The 18,417-nt window shown below is 44.5% G+C and overlaps 1 protein-coding gene across 1 annotated transcript in view; it reads right to left on the bottom strand.

The window, feature by feature from the left end:
• Positions 1-18,092, bottom strand: part of ALOX5AP (arachidonate 5-lipoxygenase activating protein) — a 50,942-nt gene extending 32,850 nt beyond the window's left edge. Inside the window, exon 1 of the mRNA NM_001204406.2 lies at positions 17,736-18,092. Coding sequence (NP_001191335.1) covers positions 17,736-17,851 — 116 coding nt within the window. The 5' untranslated portion in view covers positions 17,852-18,092. The remainder of the gene's footprint in view (positions 1-17,735) is intronic.

The following is an 18,417-nucleotide window of genomic DNA, read 5'->3' as shown; positions in this document are numbered from 1 at the left end:
GGCAACATAGCAAGACCCCCAACTCTACAAAAGTAAATTAGCTGGACGTGGTGGCACAGACCTGTAGTCCCAGCTACTCGGGGCTGAGGCAGGAGGATCGCTTGAGGCTGTAGAGATGGAGGCTTCAGTGAGCTGTGATCGCAACACTGCATTACAGCCTGGGCAAGAGAGGGAGATCCTGTCTTAAAAAAAAAAAAAAAATGTGGTCAAGGCAAAGACCCACATAGCAAGGAGCAGAACAAGGGTTCAAGCCCAGGCCGGTCTGGCTTTAAAGTCTGGAGTTTTAATCACCCTACGTGCTGCTACCGGAATCGTCTTCAGAACCTGGGCTCCCTGGTCCTTCTGCATTTGTACCTGGCAATCCCCTCACAGGCTAAAGCACTGAGCAATGGCCCCTCAGCCCTGAAGAGAGATTCTTAGAAAGGAAAGAAAGGAAGACATATACACTTCACGGGAAATAACATATCCCCACGACATCTGACCGTTAGCAAAGGTAACTTTACAAGAAATATCCCACAGCGACAGGGCTGCGAGCCCACCCCTCTCCCACCCATCCCCTGCTCCCAGCGCTCTCCGTAATTATGCATATGCTGCACTGATCTGTGTGTGACAGGTTAGTTAGACAAATATGCTGGGAGTAGGCAAGAATAATTAGCACATTCATTAATTAGAGTACTGTTAGTAGTTTGACTGTGAAGGACAACCATTTGTCAACAGAGATCAGGACAGCTGGGGCCAAGCAGTGACTCAGGGGGGCAACAATTCAGGGACGCCGAGGCTCTGCCCAGCTGCTGTTAAAAATCCTAGGAGCTGTGCAGACACTTCGCATCAACATGCCTCCATCGCCATGGCAACGGGGCCACTATGCCCGGCTGTCAGCCTACAACATTCACATAGCCTTCATCCTCACTTCAGGGTGCACGTTGCCATCTCATGACATCTCTTCCCTCCACTCCCCATTCAGGGTTGCCCTCCCTGTTCATTAGGACAAGGATTGACTGGTGGTGAGGGAGAAGGAGCAGGAGGTGGGGTCTGTGCCAGGCAGGGCATAGAGATACAGCCCAGGTCTACAGGCTGGAATTATGGATGGTTACACAACAGTTCCTTTTCATTTCAGTCAGTCTAAAGAATATTCAGACCAATATTGAGCTGAATAGTAAGTGATACGAACAGAGACCAGGCATGGTCTGTTCCAGATGTCACATGCCAATGGTGTCTGTGAGAACCAAATCAACCTGGTTAAAGTGTTGTTTCTCCTTCCCTGGCCACAATCAGGTGGGCTTTCCTTCCATGAACAGCTAGCTCATGGTTCTGAACAGAATTGAACTAAATTGAGATGAATCCTCATGCCATTCTATAGCTGAAGAAACAAAGATAGTGAATTTGCTGTAACCTCATATGCTATTGATTAAACTTCACACATGCTCAGAGTGCTTTACAGATATGACCCTCTTTCTCTAGAATCTTAAGTTGTAAGCTGATCATATCTGCGCTAAGCGAACAAATAGAAGACAAAGTCCATAGCCATTCACACAGACAGATAGCAGGAAGCCAGTGTAGTATCCGCAAAACTTCTTCCTTTTCCCATCACAAACTCACACCACACAGTATATTGCTTATGCATTTGTACGTAAATGAAGCAAATGACCCATGCATGTGGAAAACATCACGTAGTGTGTTGTGTAAGAAAACAAAGGTTAAGGCCGGGCACGGTGGCTCATGCCTATAATCACAAAACTGTGGGAGGCCGAGGCAGGCAGATCACCTGAGGTCAGGAGTTCAAGACAGTCTGGCCAAAATGGCAAAACCCTATCTCTACTAAAAATACAAAAATTAGATGGGCATAGTGGTGCACGCCTACAATCCCAGCCCCTCGGGAGGCTGAGGCAGGAGAATCACTTGAACCCAGGAGGCAGAGATTGCAGTGAGCTGGGATCACGCCACTGCACTCCAGCCTGGGTGACAGAGCGAGACCCCATCTAAAAAAAAAAAAAAAAAAATACAGGTTAGACATGGATTTCTTTGCTCCAGACTTAGCTTTATCTGTTTTGTAGGCAATCCAAGGAAAGGAGGTCAGTCATGGGCATGGCCTGCCTTGGGAACATTCAGTTCTAACAGGATTAAAATTCATGATGCCCATATATGCTCAGTTGATTTTTGACAAAGTAGTTCAATGGGGAAAGGAAAGTCTTTTTAACAAGGGTGCTAGAACAACTGTACATTCTTATGGAAAAGAAAATGAACCTTGACCCTTCCAAAAAATCACACAAATTGTAACTAGAAATGGGTCTTAAACATAAACATAAAAACTAAAAATATAAAGCTTCCAAAAGAAAACATAGGAGAAAGTCTTTGTGACCATGAAGAAGGCAAATTTTTTTTAGATAACACAAAAAGCATGAGCCATCTAAGAAAAAAAAAATCAATAAATTAGACTTCATCAAAATGTAAAACTTCCGCTCTTCAAATAACAACATATATTTTGCTAAAGAAGATATACATATAGCCAATAGGTGCATGAAAAGATGTTAAACATCATTAATCACTAGGGAAATACAAATTAGAACTACAATGAGATAACACAATACATCTATTGGAATGGTCAGCAAGGGTATGGAGCAACTGGAACTATCAATCATTGCTGGTAAGAATGTAAAATGGTAAATGTAAAAATGGCAACATGTTGGGAAGAGTTTGACAGTTTCTTTTTTGTTTGTTTGTTTTTTAGAGACCAGCTTTCTCACTCTGTCACCCAGGCTAGAGTGCAGTGGCGTGATCATAGCTCACTATAACTTCAAAGATCTGGGCTCAGGTGAATCTCCCACCTCAGCCTCCTGAGTAGCTGGGACTACAGACACACACCACCACACGCTGCTAATATTTTTTATTTTGTACAGACAGGGTATCACTGTTACCCAGGCTGTTTGAACTCCTGGCCTCAAGCAATTCCCCCAAGTTGGCAGTTTCTTAAAAGCTAAACATACACTTACCATATGTCCTAGAAATTTCATTCAGGTATTTCATCATTAGAAATGAAAATACATATTCTGTATCAGTCAGGGATTGACCAGAGATGCAGAACCACTAGAAGATATTTTATATTTTTAAATATATATACACAGACATTTTTAAGGGATTTATTATAGGGATTAGACCTTATGCAATTATGGAGGTTGATTAAACAGTCTGAGTGTATTTTTGTTTTCTGGAGTTGCCATAACAAAGTAGCACAAACTGAGTGGCTTAAAACAACAGAAGTGTATTGTTTTACAGTTTTGGGGAATAAAAGTCCAAAATCAAGGTGTCAGCAGGGCTATGCTCCCTGTAAAATCACTAAGGGAGGATTCCTTCTTGCTTTTTCCTGACTTCTGGTTATAATCCTTGGCTGGCAGCTGCCACTGCCTCCATCAGCATATGGTGTTCTCCCTTGGCGTTTCTGTCTTCCTGTGGCTGTCATAGAAGGACATTAGTTGTATTGAATTAGGAGCCCATCCTGAGCCAGTATGCCCTCATCTTAATTAATTATATTTGCAATGATGCTATTCCCAGATGAGGTTACATTCTGAAGTCCTGGCAGGTAGGGCCTCAACCTACCTTTTGGGGAGATACAATTCAACCCTTAACAGTGAGGTTGCTGTTTCTGTGGCTGGTGCTGAATCCTAAAATCTAAAGGGCAGACTGTCAGGAGGGAAAGAAAGGCATGAAGTGTGGGAAGCAAGGACAACCCAAAACCCGCAAGACTGAGCTGACACTGAAATTTGCAAGAAACCACAGGTTGGGCTAGAACCCGTAACTATCACTCACCAACATGAAGCCCCAACTTCAACACTGGGGCTTTCTGCAGGAGAATCTGATGCCCTCATCACGGAGCAGTCAGAGAAACCGAAGGAGTTTCCAGCAGAAGCTGGAACAGCTGTGAACTCACCCACTGACCTAAGCCAACCAGATGATGGACAGATTCCCAACAATGTGAGACAGAGCCACATGCCCTCCCCGACCTGCTTAGTGTAAAAAGATGCTGCTCCTTCACTCCCACCTTCCTCATCTCATGTGAAATGTCTCCAGTGGCCCACACTAATCCAGAGGTACATAGGAAAAGTGAATTTGGGGAAACATGGCTCCAGCGTAGGCCCACTGACACAATACACATCTACCAGGGCTTACCTGGTGTTAGCTTAACATCCATTCGCACCTCTTAACCATGCTAAAGTTGCCTCCCAAAAAGACCGTGGTGACTGTGCACAGTGGCTCACACCTGTAATCCTAGCACTTTGGGAGGTCAAAGCAGGTGGGTCACTTGAGGCCAGGAGTTCAAGACCAGCCTGGCCAACATGGAGAAACACCTTCTCTACTAAAAATACAAAAATTAACCTGGCGCACCTATAATCCCAGCTACTCTGGAGGCTGAGGCTGGAGAATCACTTGAACCCGGGAGGCAGAGGTTGTAGTGAGCCAAGATCGCACCACTGCACTGCAGCCTGGGCCACAGAGTGAGACCTTGGAAAAAAAAAAAAAAGGCAAAATCATGCTTCTGCCTAACAATGAAACTTTCTCTCATCCAACAGAAAATGCACTAACCCTCTTCTCTTTATTCATCTTTGAGTGATATTCATTCTGCTTGTAACTAAGTCGCATTCCCTTTTTGATATCTTGTGACTTAATACTGAGATATAAAGTTAACTACCATTAACACATATTATGTTGTATAGTAGAGAAATTAAGTAGAGGAATAGGAAAAAACTGGTCAGCTGGGTATGGTGGTGCATGCCTGTAGTCCCAGCTACTCGGAGGACTAAATGGTAGAATCAGTTGAGCCCAGGAGTTCAAGACCAGCCTGGGCAACATGGCGAGAGCTCATCTCAAAAAATAATAATAAATAAATAAACTGGTTAATATATGCACAAATACATTTATATCAAGATAAAGAAGACATATTCAACACTATTACCTTCCTCATTTCTCAAATTGGTTGTGTGGTTTTTGACTTACATTTATAACTACCTTCCACTACTCATTCTATATTCCCCTTGGAATTCCCCATGTTCATGAATAGGAATTCCAAGGGGAACACAGATGGAATATAGATGGACATAGATGGACATAGATAAAATATTCTCCTTGGAATATGCCCTCCTCAGTGAGTCCAAGTTCCTTGCCTGGTGACTCAAATCTTCATTCCTGAAGGGCCTGGACCATGATCAGTCCTCTGTGTACTAGGTTGGTGTCACTTTCTATTGACATTAATCACAGACACATAGAGTACATACTCCTCACCCTCATTGTGAAGTGGCAGTCCAATTTCTCCTTGGTAATTAGGATCAGTCACCCTAGGTGAGAAAGGAACCCCCTTCCTTGCTTGTGTATTCACTGGCACGAGGAGATGGCAAACTCAGCTGTCAGTTTAGTGGAACCACCATTGTATTCCCTGATGGAAGCATTCCCCCCACAGGAGCTAAGATTTCTGCAATAGCAGAGCCCAAAGTTACAGGAATGGGAAGGAAAAATTACTACCCGAACACCAGGGTGATAGTGAGAAAAGCCACTCCCATTTTGACCCCATGATTCTTGGACCCATGAATCCTGACAATGGGAGAAATAGCATCATATATTGGTCACTGACTTAAAGCATCCTGCAGGACATAACCCCAGGCCAGCAGGGTGTTGCTACCCAGCTGGTGCTGTAACTGAGCCTTTAAAATCCATTCCACTGTTCTAATCTGGCCACCTGCTTCACTGTGAGGCCAGTGAAGCCCATGATCAGAAGCTCATATCTGTACTTCCTTTGCTGTAAGATTACTTCCTTGGTCAGAAGCAATGGTGGTTGAAATTTTATAACAAATAAAATTAAGCCCATGGATGGTAGGTTTGGCAGAGCATTGTAGTAGTCAGGGAAGGCACATCCATATCCAGAGTAAATGTCTATTCCAGGGAAGACAAAGCACTGCCCCTTCCATGATGGAAATGGTCCAATGTAATCAACCTTCCACCAGTTGGTTTTCTAGCCCAGGGAATGGTGCCATATTGGCGTAGATTTCTATCTTGGCAGGCTGAGCACTCAGCAATGGCTGGAGCCAAATTGGCCTTGATGAGTGGAAATTCATGTTGCTGTGTCCATACATAGCCCTGCCCCCATGGCCATGATATATGTAAGCCCACTGGGCAACAGTGGCTGGGGAAAGAGACTAGCTGATGCTGTCAGAATGAATCATCTTATTCAGCTGATTTTAAAATCCTCTTCTGTTGTGGCTGCTCTTTGGTTAACATTCATATGGGATACATATTCTCATGTTTTGTGTGTGTTCAGAGGTATCCATATGCCTCTTCCCCAGGACTCCTTGTCACCAGTTTTCTAATCATGTCTCTTGGAAGTCCCTGACCATCAGACTAAACGATTAACCACTCTCTGTGATTTTGTGTAGATCTGTAACTCACGGACATCTTCTCTTCTAGGTAAAATGAACACCCACTTGTATTGCTCCAAGTTCTGCTCACTGAGGGGGTTTTCCTTTGGCACTGTCCTTCACGGGCACCCCAGAGTGGAGATGTAGTGCCTCAGCTAGCCACTTTGGGTAGTACCAGCACTATAAACTATGCTCCAATTTGTTTTTTCCTCCATCAAGTGGTCATAGGAAACTCCCCATGAAGCCACAGATGCAGACTGAGGGGAAGCAGTCAACTTGGCAACAGTACTGGCCAGGCCAAGCGCCTGTACTACTTGCTCTTGCAACTTATTTGTGTCTGCAGGACCTACTTGGGCCCAATCTCATATTCCATTTGATGATGGAACACTGCTGTGTGCACCCAACTTTCTGCCTTGGATCAAATGACTCTTGTTCACAATGGAAACTCAGGTCAAAAGACAACACGGTGGCCCATGGTGATGCATTCTGTGTTTATTATTGATAGTAGCTAGAAGATGTTTCTCAAAAGGCGAATAGTTATCTTTGGGGAATGACACAGCTTTGCTCCAAATCATTAGGTGCTATGCTGGGGTTCACCTATAAAGGCACTCCAAAGGCTCCAAACAGCCTCCTTTTCCATCACAGCCACTTTAAGCACCATCATGTCAGTTGTGTCTTAAGGCCTAAGTGGCAGAGTTGTGTCTTAAGGCCTAAGTTGCCCAGCAGCCTGAACTTGTATACAGAGCCTACATTCATTGTTCTGGGGTCTCATTCAAAACTGGCAGTCTTTTAGGATTCAAAATAGTTCAAAGCTGGAAACAACCAAATGCCCATCAGGCAGTAAATGGATAAACAAATTGTGGTATATTCTTATAATGGAATTATCCAGTAATAAAAAGAACAAACTACTGAGGCACAGAACATAGATGAATCTCAAAAACATTACACTGAGCAGAAGAAGACAGACACAAAAGAGTAAATGCTGTATGATTCCATTTGTATGAAACACTAGAAAAGATAAGTACAATTTATAGCAACAGAAAGCAGATTGGTGGTTGCCTGGAGCTGGGGCTAGGGCTGGATATTGACTGGAGAGGGACACGGGAACTTTTTGGGGTAATGGAAATGTCTCATATCTTTATTTTTGGTGATGGTTACATGGTTGTTCACATTTGTCAGAACTTGTCAATCTGTACACTCAAAATGAGTACTTTTATGGTATGTAACTTATACTTCAATAAAATTGATTTTAAAAGAGCATTTCAAAAAAATGTTTAGCTGAGCACAGTGGCATGCACCTGTAGTCCCAGCTACTCGGGAGGCTGAGTTTGGAGGATCGCTTGAGCACAGGAGTTCAAAGCCAGCCTGGGCAACATAGCAAGACCCTGTCTCTAAAAAAATTTAAAAAATTAAAAATGTTTGATGTTTAGTTAGCTCAGTAGTATTTTTCACTTAGGAGTTAAAATGAGTTTCATAGAAACATAAATAACTTTATTTAATAAGGATTTAATAAAGGAATTTATATTAACCAAACTATGGAATGTATGGATTAGAGGATGTCCTGGCTTTGTATTTCAGAAAGATTAGAAATATTGAATGGTGGAAAACTCTCACCCATTCTTTTTACACAGACACGCAATGCTTCCTTTAGAGCCAAGTCAAGTACACAAATACTTTATTATATATCCCTTATTCCTCTGTTTGCTTTGGCCTGTATTTTCAGTAGTTAAGTAATAGGACCATTCATCTGTGACTCTAAGGTAAGGTGACCAGATATCTATGACAAAGGAGAAAAAGCAATACAGTGGAGCAAAGATAGTCTTTTCAACAAATGGTGCTGGAACAACTGGACATCCACATGCAAAAAAATGAATCTAGACACAGACCTTATGTCCCTCACAAAAATCATCAACACATTAGTCTCTCTGTATTTTCTGCTTCTTGTATCTCCTTAGCAATGAGTTGTTGGATTTGAAATAAAATATGATCTTATAGGATTTTCAACATGGCAACTATTTTTAAATATGTATGGTGAGAAGAGTTCCAAGTAATTTGTTACAGGAGTGATCCAGGGTTTTACACTGACCTACTAAAGGAACCATAGCATTAGAAACTGTCTTAGTCCATTTGTGTTGCTATAAAGGAATACCTGAGACTGGATAATTATAAAGAAAAGAAGTTGATTTGGCTCATGGTTCTGCAGGCTGTACAAGAAGCATGGAACCAACATCTGCTTCTGGTGAGGCCTCAGAAATCTTCCACTTATGGCAAAAGGAGAAGGGGAGGTGAAGAGCTTGTAGAGATTACAAGGTGAGAGAGAGGAAGCAAGAGTGAGAGAGGGGTGGAAGGATCCAAGCTCTTTTAACAATCAGTTCTTGCAGGAACCACTAGAATAAAAACTCACTCGTTACTGTGAGAACGGCACCAAGCCATTTATCACTATGACCAAAACACCTCCTACTAGGCCCTGCCTCCAATATTAGGGATAAAATGTCAACATGAGATTTGTAGGGAACAAATATTCAAACTATATCAGATACAGTTTTATGGGCCCAGATCCTAAAGAGGATCAGATGACATCTGGGCAGGAGGACTGTTATATATATCCTCTATGTTCTTTCATTGCCTCACTCATTCAACAAATACTTACTGAGCATATATACCATGTGTCATGCATTGGCTTGGTACCAAGCAATAGACCCAGTTAGTGTTAATATCAGTTAGGATTAAGTTCTTTTGCATATAAACAAAAAAAAATAAAATAGCAATGGCTTAAACACGTAAGCTCTCATTTGCCTCTCATTAAAGGAATTCCAGGGGTAGGCAAGGCAGTGCTGGTGTGGTTCAAGGTGAACAAGAACATAGGTGCCTTCTTTCTTCCTGTTCTACCCATCATAAAGCTGGTTTCTGCCTTAACATCACCTGATTGCCTGAGACAGCTTTGAAGTGTCTGCCATCTGCACCGCATTTTAGGAAGCAGGAAAGAGAAAGAGTAAGAAGTGAAATGAGGAATTATGTCTTCAACGAGCTTTCTTGGAAATCCCACCCTTCAACTTCGACTTCTATCTTATTGGCCAGAATGCTGTTGCATGGCCATTGCTAGCTTCAGAAAAGATGAGGAATGCAATCTGTCAGCCGGGCACTTTACTGCCTTGAATAGAGCTTGGAATGAATGGGAAACATTTTGGGTAGTCAACTATCTCAATCTTTTTTTATAGAGGATGTCAGGAAAATCTTACCAGAGGAAGTGTTGTCTTGGCAAATACAAAAGGAAAGAAGAAACAGTATGTTCAAAGATCCTGAGCAAGAGAAAGTCACCATAAAGTTGAGGACCTGAAAAAATTTCCATTTAGTGGGAAATCTGATTGAAAAGATGATGTGGGAGGGGTTGGGGAACCACATCCCAAAGGGCCATGCCTCTTCCATTAAGGAGTTTCAAAATGATCCTGGGGGCAAAGAGAAGCCACTTGAGGATTTTAAGAGGAGGAGTCTCACAAATGGATTTGCATTGTAGAGCACTCTGGCTGCAGTGTGGAGCATGGATTGAGAGACCAGCACAGAGACAGGGAGAGCAGCTGGGGTCTGTTCCAGAGAAGAGATGGTGGATTAGACTAGGGTGGTGGCCATGGCCTTAGACAGAAGTTTGTGCATTGAGGGTCTGTTTACTAAATAGTAGCACAAGGCTTAGTGAGGGGTTGGGGGTAAGGAAGAGGAGTCAAGAATGGTACTCAGATTTCTCACTTAAAAAAACAGATAAATGTCGGGGCCACTGCCTGAGAAGTCCCTCTCAAGACCCTTTAGCTATCCTCAGTCTTACAGTACTTGGTTGGGGCCATTTGGGAACGTTGCTGAAGTTCTCCTTGCTTGGCTAATTTTGGCTATTCTTGAGTAAATGTTTGATAAGCACCATAGCCCCCAAACAACCCATTTGACAGTTGGATTGAGACATGGCAAAATTAGACTTGATGCAGATGTATGTGTATTAAAAATGAATGCCCTTCTCCTATGGCCTCCTGATAAAGAAGAGAGAAGTGTGTTCGGCTAGCAGAGAGAAGAAGCGTGGGGTGGGATCAACGAAGAGTCCATGAACCCTGTGCAATGGCTGGAGAACTGAATGACAAGCTCCATTTCCCCCATGTGTGTGGCTGTGGGGTCCCCAGATATAGGTTAGGGATGCAGTAACCACACCTCATCTTGGGACTGAATTACAACTCTTTCAACCAAAGAGCATTTGTGCCCACAGAGAAGTGGGAAGGAAAATTAGAAAAGTGGTTGTCCCCTCCATAAAATGCTCTCAGGGTACAGACAACCCATTCTCTTAGGGATGAGCATGGAGAAGAGATTTCTTTTTCTGCCTTTTATTGACAAAAATTTTGCAACATGCAAGGAAATAGGATATTCAGATTAAATGACTGGGCATTCAAATATTCAAAAGTTAAGTTCCTTCCCCCAGCAAAATTAGCCTGACCACATTAACAGAGTATATATTGCATGAAAGTGGTTTAGTTCCTGTTTTCCTTTTGAATAAACTGGCTAAAAATATTACTGTTTGTGGTGTTAAATGGATTTCATAACTAACACAGGATGTGGCTAAATTCATATTACTGTGATAATTTTAATTGAATTTTCTGACTCCTACATGTTTGTCAACTTTTAACACTGTATTAAACATAAGGTTCCAATGTTATTAATATGAAATGCTCACATTCCCTTACAACTGTGATTATATTTTGTTATCATTCCTGAATGTTGTATTAAGTCTATTTAAAAGATATCCCAAGAGACCCTTATATGTTTACTGCATTAGAAGAAAAACAGATGTTCTCACACATCCTGAGAGATAATACAATTTACATTGCGTATGAAGCTTGTTGAGAACCACTTAAAGATCTTTCTAGGTAGCCAGAGGGTTTAAGTAATCCATAGCATCCGACAGCGTATCATATTAGAAAATTAGAAAAAAATGCCAATCACATTTTCCAAATGCAAAAGCACATTTAAAAATTATCCTCTAGAGGCCGGGCGCGGTGGCTCACGCCTGTAATCCCAGCACTTTGGGAGGCCGAGGTGGGCGGATCATGAGGTCAAGAGATCAAGACCACCCTGGCCAACAAGGGGAAACCCCGTCTCTACTAAAAATACGAAAATTATCTGGGCGTGGTGGCATGTGCCTGTAGTCCCAGCTACTTGGGAGGCTGAGGCAGGAGAATTGCTTGAACCCAGGAGGCGGAGGTTGCAGTGAGCCGAGATCACGCCACTGCACTCCAGCCTAGTGACAGAGCAAGACTCCATCTCAAAGAAAAAAAAAAATTATCCTCTGGGAAAAAAAAAAGGGAACAGAGCATTTGAACTACAGTCCTACTGTTCTCAGGCTGTGATTGAATTACAATCACGAATTAGAACTGACATGAGTTTTTCAGCGGAATATCCTGACCAGTCGCCTCACTCACTTGGAACTTGTCCATCGTCTCACTTCTCTAGAAGAAGCCAACAACCTATGACATAGCAAAAGATGACCCTGGACAATCAAAATAGATTAAACAGAGAATAGTCACTAAACAGTATTGACTCTTGGAAATGCCCTAACCAACCTGGTTATTTTATGAAGGATTGTAACAAGCTTAGTTCTCTGAAATCTATACCTAGAGCAGATAATAAGCAAGAAAGTAAGGAGAAATGAGGAGAAAGATACAGAAATATTTGTTGAATGCAGCTAAATGCAAGCAGCCTTACACATATTATTTAATCTTTATGACATCCCTTTGAAGCGGTATGATTATCCCGGTCCTCAGATGAGGTTACTGAGACAGAGAGAGGTCACGCCCTGTGAGTGCACCATGTGCATGCAATGAAGCTGAAATCCTAGCCTAGAGAGTCATCATTACATGACCAACAATTACTAACTTTTATGGAATGTTTTCTAGGTATACCAGATACAGCACTTTATGTCTATTATAACTCTTAATTCTTACAAAGGACTTTAAATCAACCTCCATTATTGTCACCATGCCATAGATGAGTGAATTGAGGCTTGGAAAGTGTAGGTCCCTTTCCCTTCATTGCACAACTAGCTGACAACTGAGACAGGACTCAGACCCGGTCAGTGTGATGCCTGAGTTCGTGGGATTTCACCACAGCCTGCACTGCGCTGACAGGCACGATGGCAACAGAAGTAGCAACTTGATGGCAGAACACAAAAAAATAAAGCTAGACAGGCCAAGACATCCAAAAGATGCTGCTGTCACTCAAGATGAAGGCAGTAGTTTGGATCAAGGGAAGACTGTAAGGCATGTGCCCACATTCTCTGTGAACTTGGGGGAGGGAGTGTCCAGGAGTTCAGTGGTCAGCTATGAGCATAGCAGGAGAGGGCTGTCATGACCTCAAAGGTCAAGGTTTTACAGGAGGCCTGGGAGCTGCATTGGGCAGCTAGGGCGACCCTGATCCCGGCTACTGATGTGACCTCAGCTTCCAGTGTAAACCCCATGTTTTGACACTGAGCTTTGTGGAATGAAGAGAATAAAAGGCCTTTTTTGAGAAGGTGGCAGGGATGGCAGGTTCCAGAGAAAGTAATAGGTGAGAGGAACTTTCAGAGAAGAGGCTGAAGCCACACGAGAGTTTGCAGTTCATGGTGTGAGCATTCCAAAGGGCACAGTGGATGGGTATGCAATGGAGAAAAGGATGGAGGAAGGGGGCAAGGGTGGGTCAGAGACATGGAGAGAAGAACTGAGCAATAAGGCAGTGTGTAGTTGTGGAGTTATTATAGATATGCATATATATATATATATATATATATGCATATCTGTGATAGGTTTTCATCCACAGTTCCTGGCTCATAACTCCCATAGCCCTTACTACAGTCTTGTTATAATGTTGAGTGTGTTAGACCTCAGAGGCAGGCCTCAAAAACAGAATCTTTTGGCCAGATGCAGTGGCTCACACCTGTGATCCCAGCACTTTGGGAGGCTGAGGCAAGTGGATCACCTGAGGTCAGGAGTTTGAGACCAGCCTGACCAACATGGAGAAACCCTGTCTCTATTAAAAATACAAAATTAGCCAGGCATGGTGGCACACGCCTGTAATCCCAGCTACTCGGGAGGCTGAGGCAGGAGAATCGCTTAAACCTGGGAGGCGGAGGTTGCAGTGAGCTGAGATTGTGCCATTGCACTCCACCCTGGGCAACAAGAGTGAAACTCCGTCTCAAAAAAAAAAAGAAAAAATAAACAGAATTTTTCTCACCTACTCCCCCTACCCCTTTCACCTGCCCGTCAAGGCAGGACTCTAATCTTGACCCCACCCCACCTTTCTGACTGTGGGTCTTAAAACCCTCCCCAGAGAAGGTCTTGCCCTATACTCTGGGGAAAGAATGTGGGTGTCTTGAAGCTTCCATAAAAACCCAAGAGGACTGGGTTGGGGAGCTGAACATGTAGAGGCTGATAGGCAGGTGAAGGAGAACTCATTCATGTACTGAGAGGGTGGTGCACCCCCGCTCCACATGGACAGAAGCTCCTGCACTAGGGACCTTTCCACACCTCGCCCTATGCATCTCTTTATCTGCCTACTTTTATCCTTTAAAATGTCCTTCGCAATAAACTGGTAGCTGTGTTTCCCTGAGTTCTGTGAGCCACTCTAGCAAATCAACCAAACCCAAAGAGCGGAGTGGTTGGAACCTCAACTTGAAGTGGATTGGTCAGAAGTTCCAAAGGCCAGCCCTCTGACTGGGAGAAGGAGGGTTTAGGCTTGAGGATCTGACACTATCTCCCAGTAGACAGCATCAGAATCAAATTGGAGGACACCAGCTAGTGTCCACTGCTTGGGGTTTTCCCCCACACCTTTGCTCGCAGAAGTCTTCTGCATTGATGATTGTTGTTATGCTGCTGTAAGTGAAGAGGAAAAACTCAATTTGGGAGTTTTTTCAAAAACAGTAATAAAGAATTTAACCCTGCCCAAAAAGAGGTCTGGCTTCTGCCCTCAGCTTCTGAGAGGTGATCTCTAAGGCTTTGGAACGTCCTGCCTGCTAGAGGTGTTTTCATTTGCCCGGGGACATTGGGTCATGGTGTGTGATTTAGAGCAGGGACTGTGAGTGATGTGTAGCGGTGGAGAGTCTGGGAACAGATCGGCCGCATGGGCAGTCAGCTGTGCTCATGTGACAGAGCCACAGTAAAGACCCTGGACACCAAGGCTTCCCTGGTGGGGAACACTCCCTGTGTGTTGTCACACATCAATGCCAGGAGAGTGGCGCTGTCCGTGACTCCACGGGAGAGGACCGTAGGGGCTCCATGTCAGGCACTGTCCTGGACTCTGTGCTGTGTGCTTCTTCCTTTGGCTGATTTTAATCTGTATTCCCTCCCTATAAGAGATCACAACCATGAGTATAACAACCTTCAGTGAGTTCTGTCAGATCTCCCAGCGAATTATCACAACTCAGGGTGGTTTGGGGAACCCCTTGACTTGTAGTTGGTGTCAAAAGTCAGGATAGTGTTTTGTGGACTGTGTCCCCTCCCACTTCCAGTTGGCTAAAGGTTCACAGGCCATCACTGACTATACAAGGGAGGATGGCTCATTGCAGGGGGGCTGATATTTTAGCCAATGACTAAGGAACACAGAGCTGCAAAGTGAGGTAGATTGACCCCCTTAGTCTCTTAAAGCAACACTTCTCAAAAGCTAATGTTCATACAAATAATGTCGGAATCTGATAAAATGCAGATTCTGATTCTACAGGTCCAAGTGCGGCCTGATCTACATTTCTGATAAGCTGATACAACAGCTCCTTGGAGCACATGTTGAGTAAGAAGATCTTACATCAATGGTTTCCAAACTGTGTTACATGTTAAAATCCCCTTGGGAGTTTTTAATTATCCTCATGCCCAGGCTACACACCATCTAATGGTATGAGGCCGGTGTCCCTTTCCCTGTTGTTGCAGTGTTGGCAGGTAGAGTCAATCAAAGCATGGAGCCAGGTAAAGCTGTGCTCATGATTGAAAAATGCAAGCTAACAATAGAGGTTGAGAGATTGTGTTTTAGAAGGTTGTGAAATAAGAAAAACAAGACTGACAAAGAAGCAAGTAGCTCCACGTGGGATTCTCCTTGTCCTTGGGGATCTCTTCCTTAGCATGTGGTGGCTGTCATCGCCACTCTGACACAGCCCTAGTTACTCAGATCCCTTGCAGCAGCTCAGCTCTGGAGGGGAGCCCGGGCTCAATGGCAGGAGCAGGCAAATGTTGGTCCAAACTCAGCATTGCAGTGACATTCTTATCAGGCCATTAAGTGCTGATATTTTACTATTACTATATATACATATTTCCATCACTTTGAATGCTGGATTCGGTAGCTAGGAAAGGACAGCCTTAGAGGTCAAAGGCCACTTGCCTGAAAATAAGGTCCTGAAAGAAAAAAAACCAGAAGCCCAAGGGGATGATCATGTGTTATGAAAGGAAACTCTATGGAGGGCTTTTCAAAATGCCTCGGCATCTGAACATATCCTCATGGGAAAGACCGCCCCAACACGAATGTGGCCTCCACAGGGTTTCAAGAGGAGTCATGGAAAAGGCAGCTGGGGCCATTTCCTGGGGAATGGGTGACTTCCCACCCCATAAGTGATGTCCCTGCCTCCCCATCCCACTGTGGGCCTCAGAGGTTCAAACTACCTGTTGCATCTGCATGGTGTGGACATAGAGGCAGCCACACTGAGGAGCAAGCAAGAAAGGGCATGCGGATAACCTTGACTCCCAGGGCCCCAGAAGGCACTCACCACCTTCACTCTGGCCACTGCAATGTGGCAGAACTATACTCCCAAAGCCATATTGTTTATTAGAATAATAAGAAAACTATCATACATTAAGTGCAGTAAATGTGCCAGGCACGGGACCAAGTGCTTTGTACCCAATGTCTCATCTAACATGGACAAAACCCAATAAGACAGGTATTATATTATTGCCCTTTTTACAGAGGAAGTGAAGCTTGGAGAGCCCCAGGAACTTGGCCATAGTCATGTGACAAGTTAAAGCCCGGTTCTCAAAGCCAGGCTGCCAGGCTCCAAAGCCAGGGAAACCCAATTGTTTCTGAATGACCAGGGGACTCAAGCAACCGGTCCAAGGTCACATATTGACCTGGAGAAGGAGCAAGGCAGTGAACCCCAGAGAGAGGACAAGCCTCCTATGTGTTGTGGTGCCTCAGGACCTATCAGGAAATGATCTGGCCAGAGAGATGACCCCTTCCAAGCCAAGGGATAGATTCTCAGAACCTTGACACAGCTCTAAGCGGGGAGTACAGTGGGTAATATGATAAGTGCCAGGAACGGAGTTGCCCGCAAAGGAAAATGAACACTGTGGCAAGCCCTAAGTTTCCCAACAGGAACCAGAGGCTGTAAGCTAAGTAAAGTCATTCAACAAGTGCCCAGGGTGTGACGGCGTAAGCTTAGGAGAGACTGGTAGCCTTCTCAGAGGCTACAGATGCCCCAGCAGAACGCCCACCAATGTTTCCCACATCTAGGATCTTCTCCCCTTTGAAGCATCCAAGACAGCCATCAGCAGGCTGGAGACTATGCGCTAGGTCCTGGCTCAAGAACTCCCCACCCCCCACCCCCCACCTCCCACCTCCCACCTCCACCAAGCTCTCTTGCCAGCGGCCACCTCTCCTGGGCAGGAGCCAGAGGAATGCAGGGAGAACAGGAAAGAATGAATGATGCCCCCCAAAATGGAGCATCTGCCCTGGGCAATGACGGGATCCCTCTGGTTCTCACTCAAGTGGATGATGCCCCACATCGACCCGTCAGGTCTCCCTCTCCTGATCCTTCACCCTCAGACTGGGAAACCCTCTCAGTGAGGACAGAGATACAGCTTTTTCCTGCCCAACTGCCTTTCTCAGGAAAGAGTAGAAAGGATCACCCAGCTTCCAATGGAACAGAGAGATGCTGTCAGCTTTTTGTGAATCTCTGAGCACTCAGCTCAGGCCTTTTTTTTTTTTTTTTTTTGAAAGTTAGCACATCCATCACATCCCCTAATGCCTATTCGGCATCTGTTCTCTAAAGAGCCAGGGCTAGGAGTTACCTCCAGGGGTAACTCCTGTTATTTAATGCAAGGCAGAGAGTTCCTTTAGTGTATGCTAGGAGTCTGACACCATAATTCAGATTTATGGAATAAAATTCTAGAAGAAATTTGGTTCAGAAACAGGTAGAGTTTGATATAGATCCTGGGGCCACTCTAGCTGCCCAATACTGCTTCTGGGAGCCTCGGTTCTTAAAAACCACCGAACATGGCCCTGGGCCCAGGTCAAATTTGTAGGAGGCATGGTAGAAGATGCACACACATGCGCGTGTGCGCGCACACACACACACACCAGCACTGATGGCTTATGTTCCCAATGTGCCCCAAGGTGCCAAAGGATTTCCCAAATTCAGAAGTTTTCAGAGTCTTCTGTGTATGCCAGGGAGCATCGTGATTAAATGTGAGCATTTTTGTTTCTGTTGACTTCTGGAGCCTGGTTCACAGTGAAGTCAGTTCTACAGAGTTCTTGCAGAATTGTCCAGATGTGACAGGGTCCTCCTCTTCAAAAACGGGAGATGAGAGGAGGTGTGAGGGGGCAAAGGTGGGGTGCAGGAATCAGGCCATGCAGAGCTGCCCCTCCCTGGAGTCCGGGCCCTTTCAACCCCATCTTTGCCAGAGCTGTGACCCCTTCACCTCCAAATGCCCAGATAATAGGAAGCAATTTCTGTCCTTTTTCTGAGTACCTCTTGCTTCACCAGCCCTCCCCAGACCAAACACACCCCAGACAAGGATGGGGGCAGGTACAGTTTCCAACTGTGACATCGGGGCAGTGCAATGTCAGAGGGCCAGAAGTTACAACATTATCTCACTTACTCATTTCCTTGTACCGTGCAGGGAGGAAGTCCCATAGACTCAAGTCTGTCGAAGGACAGTGTGGACACTTCCTCTTTCCTGACCTTTGTGTCACTCCACTTGATCTACCTCCTACCCACGACCCTCTCTTCAAAGTCCCCGGGGCCTGATGTCCTGGCCCC

Source organism: Homo sapiens, chromosome 13 (assembly GCF_000001405.40).
Source record: "Homo sapiens chromosome 13, GRCh38.p14 Primary Assembly".
In the NCBI taxonomy this organism is placed as follows: Eukaryota; Metazoa; Chordata; class Mammalia; order Primates; family Hominidae; genus Homo; species Homo sapiens.
Note: the sequence above shows the minus strand (reverse complement) of the source record. Positions and strands in the feature narration are given on the sequence as shown.